At 43.1% G+C, this 6,636-nt stretch overlaps 1 annotated feature.

Moving 5' to 3' along the window:
• Nucleotides 5,911-6,205: a silencer, noted in NCBI's record as "tiled region #7090; HepG2 Repressive non-DNase unmatched - State 23:Low". NCBI's record gives its function as "represses a minimal TATA promoter and a strong SV40 promoter by Sharpr-MPRA in HepG2 cells {active_cell/tissue: HepG2}" and the evidence as "EXISTENCE:reporter gene assay evidence [ECO:0000049][PMID:27701403]".

The following is a 6,636-nucleotide window of genomic DNA, read 5'->3' on the forward strand; positions in this document are numbered from 1 at the left end:
CCGAATTTGCCTCCAACCAAATTGGTGACGGCATTTGCCTGTGCCTAATTTCCCTCCTTCCTCCATTGCTTTGATCCCTTCTGACCCTTCCAAAGCAATCAGGAGATGAGAGGCTGAGGCCTTTCCAGACTGAACTAGTCTTTCAAAGATTCAAAAGAGGACTTTGCAGTGAACATCAGGCATCTGTAAGCTGGTGGCGGATACTTCTGTGGTGCAATAAGTCGTCCAACTCCCAATCATGTTGTAGAGGCAGCCACCATTGCTCATACTCCTAGGTGTATCCTACCTGTCTCTCTCCTCGGAAGACTTGCCTGGGACTCATGGACGTGCCTAGCGTTGACTGAATAAGACCAGCTAGTGCGAACAAAACAAGCCAGCACGCATCACTAGAAAGACCAGACTGGAGCTTGACTAGGGGCTGCTGAGCAACTTAGGCCACCCCTTCCTCTGTTGGGAGCAACATAAAATTCTCAGAGGGAAAGCAGCTGCCAGGATGGTTGCTGTGACTTTGAGCAGATGCATGTGTCTGTCTGGGAACTGCAGGATTCTTAGGAGTAGTCAAGGATGAGGGCATGCTGTGGCTTTGATTTATTTAGTGGAAGCACAAGAACTTTAAGCTTCAGGCATGTGTGCATGTGTCTTTAAAGTGACTGTCACACCCAAAAGTGAGTGCCAGGAAGGAAACTTCACATTTTCCATGGCTTGCAGCTTCTATATATTAACATCATCCCTGACTTACTGACTTCCTGCCACATACTAGCCAAGGAAAGCCAGCACCTAGGATGGTTGTTGCTACAGGGTAGAAGCCAACCTGAGACAAATGTTTAGGGAATGGATGAATGAATGAATGAATGAGTGAATGAATGAAAGAGCAAATTTATGAGTTCACTGCTCCTGGGCTTGGCCCGCCACCAGGTGGAAGTGGATAAGGGTGCACCCTGTCAGAGCAGTTAGATTGCTCTAGTGCAATATCACACTGACTATGAGGAAGCTCATTTTCTGCAAGTGCTAACTCGATTGTGCACATTTCTACATAATAATAAACTTATGTAGTCTATTGTATAAGTGTATACATTTAAAAAGAGGGATGCTTTAATTAATGTATGTGTCTATTTTATTATTAATAATATAATGTGTCAAATGCCTTGGGATTCACGAAGATGAAAGCAAGCAATATAAACATGAGATACCATTATGCTTCTTATAATTACAGCCTGTGGATATGCCAGTTCATTATAAACACCCATCACACAATGTACCCTGTCATGCTGCTCTAACAAAAGGCAATTGTTGGGAGGGTCAAGGAGTCCACGGGATGCCATTTTAATAGGATTTGGGTTGGCTCACTGTTAATAGAAACACTTTGATGTGAGTCAAGTACCTCAAATTCCACTGGCCAAGTCTTGAACACGGACTAAATTCTAACAAGTTCAAAGAATAAAAATCATGTCTTCCTAAACTTCCAAGAAATGTATTTATTGGACCACCTGAGGCAGTGAGAACCTATAGATTGAGAATGTTCTCTATCTTTCTTACAAGTAGCCTGAGTTATTTCAAAGATGGGAAAAAGGCAGGGCGCAGTAGCTCATGCCTGTAATCCCAGTACTTTGGGAGCCCAAAGCAGAGGGATCACTTGAGCTCAGGAGTTTGAGAACAGGCTGGCCAACACAGTGAGACCCCATGTCTACTTTTAAAAAAAAAATAAAATGAGGCTGGGAGTGGTGGCACAGGCCTGTGGTCCCAGCTACTCAGGAGGCTGAGGCAGGAGAACTGCTTGAGCCCAGGAGGTCGTTGCTGCAGTGAGCTGTGTTCGGGTCATGGGACTCTAGCCTGGCCAACAGAACAGGAGGGAAAGAAAGCTGGGAACAGGGCTTGGGTGGGAGCGGGCAATAGGCCCTCTTCATTTCTTATGGCTCTGGGGACCCAGTTTTGTGCTGACTCATAACATGCATTTTCAATGAGGCAAATATGTCCCCCAAGGGAACAAAAATAGGTTTTTGGGAGGGAAGGCACAAAAAAAAAAAAACCCACAACAAAAAAACCCACTTTTACCCTTTTTATATATAAAGCATAGCTATGCATATAGTACACTAAGAGTAGCTCTTAATAATGTTTCTGAGGTATTAAAATTTCATGGGAGAGGCCAATTAGGAAAGAAACATCTAAAGAGGCTCGTTAGGGGAGCAAAAATGGAAACCAAAAGGTTGAGAAACACTACTCTTGCTCTCTAAGAAGCAGTTTTACTGATAATCATTGAACGTGAAGTTTCCCCATTCTGTGGGAAGCAAGCTTCAGGGTGACTGTGGGCCTGGGAAGAGGTAAATCCTCCTAGGAAACCATTGTCCCACTGTTTAATAGAAATACGGGATTCTGCTATCATGGATTTTCTCTTATGGCCTAAATTTCTAATACTCCCCAAAGTGCAGATATCTCTGGATAAGGTAATACTTTTTATTTTTTGAGACAGAGTTTCGCTCTTTTTGCCCAGGCTGGAGTGCAGTGGTACGACCTCGGCTCACTGCAACCTCTGCCTCCCAGGTTCAAGCGATTCTTCTGCCTCAGCCTCCAGAGTAGCTGTGATTACAGGCGCCCGCCACCATACCTGGCTAATGTTTTGTATTTTTTGTAGAGATGAGGTTTCACCATGTTGGCAGGGCTGGTCTCAAACTCCTGACCTCAGGTAATCCACCCGTCTTGGCCTCCCAAAGTGGTTGGTATACAGGCATATGCCACAGCACCTGGCCTGGATAAGGTAATACTTTTAATCATCTATTTATATCTTGGTATCAGGATCTATGAATTCCTTGTCTGATCAGTTTTTTTTTATTTTTATTTTTTTATTTATTTGTTTTTTTTCTGAGACAGGTCTCACTCTGTTGCTTAGGCTGGAGTGCAGTGGCATGATCAGGGCTCACTGCAGCCTCAAACTCCCAGGCTTAAACGATCCTCCTGCTTCAGCTTCCCTACTAGCTGAGATTAAAGGTGTCTGCCACCATACCCAGCTAAGTTTTAAAAATTTTTTAAGGAGATGAGGGCTCTTTATGTTGCCCAGGCTGGTCTCGAACTGCTGGATTCAAGTGATCCTTCCACGTTGACCTCCCAATGTGCTGGGATTACAGGGATGAGCTACTGTGCCCGGCTTTGACATCAAATTTTAATAGGGGCAGGAAAGAATACAAGGGTGTTGAATACCTGAGGGAGAGAAGGAGGCATCATTGAGGGGAGGGAATGTACAAAAAGGAAAGGTTGAAAATAGGAATGAGCTGGTTACAAAGCTCAATCTACAAACTCAGTGTTCAAGAAATGCACTTATTTTCTAGACCTCTTTTTTATGATTTAATTCTGCTAAGATGTCAGGAAGAAAAAATAATCACAGTCAGTTCAGGATTCCTTCCACTTCCTGGAACTGGGTGGGTTTATGGTAATTGTGCAGTGCTAAGGCATGGGAGGCAATGGGTCATGCCACAGCAGGTCTTCAGTCCTAGGTACAGACAAGTCAATACTGAGTCACCACCCCCAGGTCCTTCAGGTCCTACCTTCACCCTGGGAGCTGAGTAACACTCTCTGGCCCCATCTGTTTAGGGACACCACATTCTCTTGGTCTTGCCAACTCTCTAGGCTTCTACCCAGGAAAGGACACAGGTTTTCTCTACTTCCCAGTGTCTCTACACCAAACCTATCTGGAGTTTTCATCCCTACCCCTTACCCCCTACCTGCTCAATTTGACAAGGGCAGAGTACAAGAGGTACAGAAGTGCCAGTACCTAAATTTTCATCACGTCTGTGCAAGCATTCCTCTTCCTTGGAGCCCAGGGATTTCCTATCAACTTTCCAGGCTGAGACCTCCCGCAATGCATATTCATCCAAATTCATCACCTTTTGGTATCTCTGGAGGACTTGGCTGTGTCACAGCTCCTTGAGGCAATGCGTGTGCAACGGCCAAGCTGGACAGAGACAGGCCAAGGGAAAGAGGAAATGCTGAGAGGACAAAAGTCGTTTATATTTCAAAATATACATTTAAACATAAGAGGCGTGATTTCACAATCGGAAAGTTGATCCACCACTCCAGGACTGATTTCCTCGACTTTCATTCTAGACCAGGGGTGTCCAATCTTTTGGCTTCCCTGGGCCACACTGGAAGAAGAGGAACTGTCCTGGGCCACGCATAAAATACACTGACACTAACGATAGCTGATAAGCTAAAAAAAAAAAATTGCAAAAAAACTCACAATGTCTTAAGAAAGTTTACCAATTTGTGTTGGAATGCACTCAAAACCATCCTGGGGCACATGTGGCCCATGGGCTGTGGGTTGAACAAGCTTGTTCTAGACAATATTCAGAAGAATTGCCTCATATCTTAATCATACAAGTATATCCTTCATAACGCAAACTTCAGTAAAGGCTATCTCTCCTTTTTACTCAAGTGCAGTAATACTGGAATGGTTGCATGGGACGTTGTTGTATATTTCAACAGGGATATTAATAAAATTGTGAGTTTAGCTCCCAAGGTGAGACTTTTAGCATCAAAAATTATACACAAGACTCATACATAATTCTAAGTGTCTACTATTATATGGGTGCAGAATAAATGGTATTGAATTGAATTATTTCAGGTGTGCTACAAACAAGTTTCCTTTAGATGCTACCTTAAAGTCAAGATAGGTTGAAAAAATTACAAAGTCTTTCTAGTAGTCTAAACATGAGGCATGTTGCTCATTCTGTGACAAAAAAAGCTGCTGATGCTGTTGTGCGAACTGACTAGGAAAGCAGAGTCTGTAAATGCCGTAGCCACTAAGCCAAAGTCTGCAATAGAATAAGTGCAACTCTTCTGGCTTGGTGTTTCTGGGCATACAGGAGCATTCGCCATTGCTAGTTATGTTGTAATCACGGAATAAATAGCACTTTATAGAGGGCTCTCAATTCACCTGGTAAACTTTTTTCTCCCTCAGTGTCATGCTGCAGCTATGAAAGAAAGAATTGGCCTTATTCTTATGTTTTCACAACCTAATATCCAGTATTTACAATCCACACATGTTCCTTAGGGGAGCTCAAGGCATTTTCTGACAAGCCATCTCTTTCCTCCATTTAACAACAGTGATGGGATCCGGGAGAAGAAATTGATGGTAAAAGTGATGAATGTTGCATTTAAAGAGGAGTCAACATTTAGATACAGCACGGTTACGTTTCTCTTCCATGGTCACACTGTGACTCAGAGCAAAACTTTTTTGATAAATCTTTCTTTTTTTTTTTTTGAGACAGTGTCTCTCTCTGTCACCCAGGCTGGAGTGAAGTGGAGCAAGCTTGGCTCACTGCAACCTCTGCCTTTTGGGCTCAAGCGATTCTCCTGCCTAAGCCTCCCCAGTAGCTGGGACTACAGGCACGCCCCACCATGCCTGGCTGATTTTTGTATTTTTAGTAGACATGGGGTTTCACCATGTTGGCCAGGCTGGTCTCGAACTCCTGGCCTCAAGTGATCTGCCTGCCTTGGCCTCCCAAAGTGCTGGGATTACAGGCGTGAGCCACTGCACCCGACTGGTAAGTCTTCCTTCTACTCTCACGCCTGAATCCCCAAATCCTTATAAAAGGTAGAGGTTTTCTTATTCTGTGTTGTCGTCTTCGAGTTTATCTGGTTACCAAATAGGAAAAAAAATAATAATAAAAGACAAAAAAAAAGAACCCAACTGTTTACCTGACAAAAAAATGATTTTCAAAGTTTAGTTTTCAAAATATTTTGCCAAACTCACTGTTCTTCACTGCTAAGATGGAATGACAATGCAGTGCTTCAAGGTGCCGACAAAAACAAGTTATGTCATCCCAAGTTACAAAGAAAACAGACACCAGCAGAGACTCCTCACCAAGTTTTAACATGTGGAAACAGCAATGCGCCAGAGCAGATTCTCGGAGGCTAAACCAAGGGGAATAAAGCCATGAAACAGCTCATTTCCATTTGACAAACCAGCCTTGGGAACTCAGATAAGGACTTCATTTCATACATGCTACAAATCCATTTTCCGTTTTCCTAAAAGTCCTGGCAATGATTCAAAGCCAACTCATGAAGCAGACAGGAGGCCTGTTTCTGGCCAACAGAGGCTCTTTCTCCAGGCGATAGTAACAATAGGCATCTTTCTGGGTGGTGACTGAGTTCTCCCACGCGACCCATTGTAAGTAAAATAATTTCTAGTAACTAGACACTAGTTTCGAGACTATGCCATTCAGTGGGTGTGATAATAATAACAGCCAACATGATTGAGTGCTTTTTATATGGTAAGCATGGTTCTAGGCATTTTACATGATGATCTCCCTATTACTTGCAATAACCGTATTTGTAACCATCCTACTAGCGGTGCCATTTTATCAATGAGGTCCATGCGGCCCTGAGAGATTAAGCACTTTTAGTCCAAGGCTCTATGGCTAGTACATGGTATCGCTGGATGTGACTCTGAACTCATGCTCTCAATCACTATACCATATTGCAGTGAAAACAATGGCAAATATTGTTACCCTCCTATATGTGTATTTATAGTATAGCATAACTAGGTGTGAAAAGTAAAATTACTAGTAGACCACTGAGAAATTATTACTCTCCCATAAATGCTAGACCGAATGGGACATACATGTAAGAAACAAAAAGTCAACT

The sequence above is a fragment of the Homo sapiens genome, chromosome 8 (genome assembly GCF_000001405.40).
Source record: "Homo sapiens chromosome 8, GRCh38.p14 Primary Assembly".
In the NCBI taxonomy this organism is placed as follows: domain Eukaryota; kingdom Metazoa; phylum Chordata; class Mammalia; order Primates; family Hominidae; genus Homo; species Homo sapiens.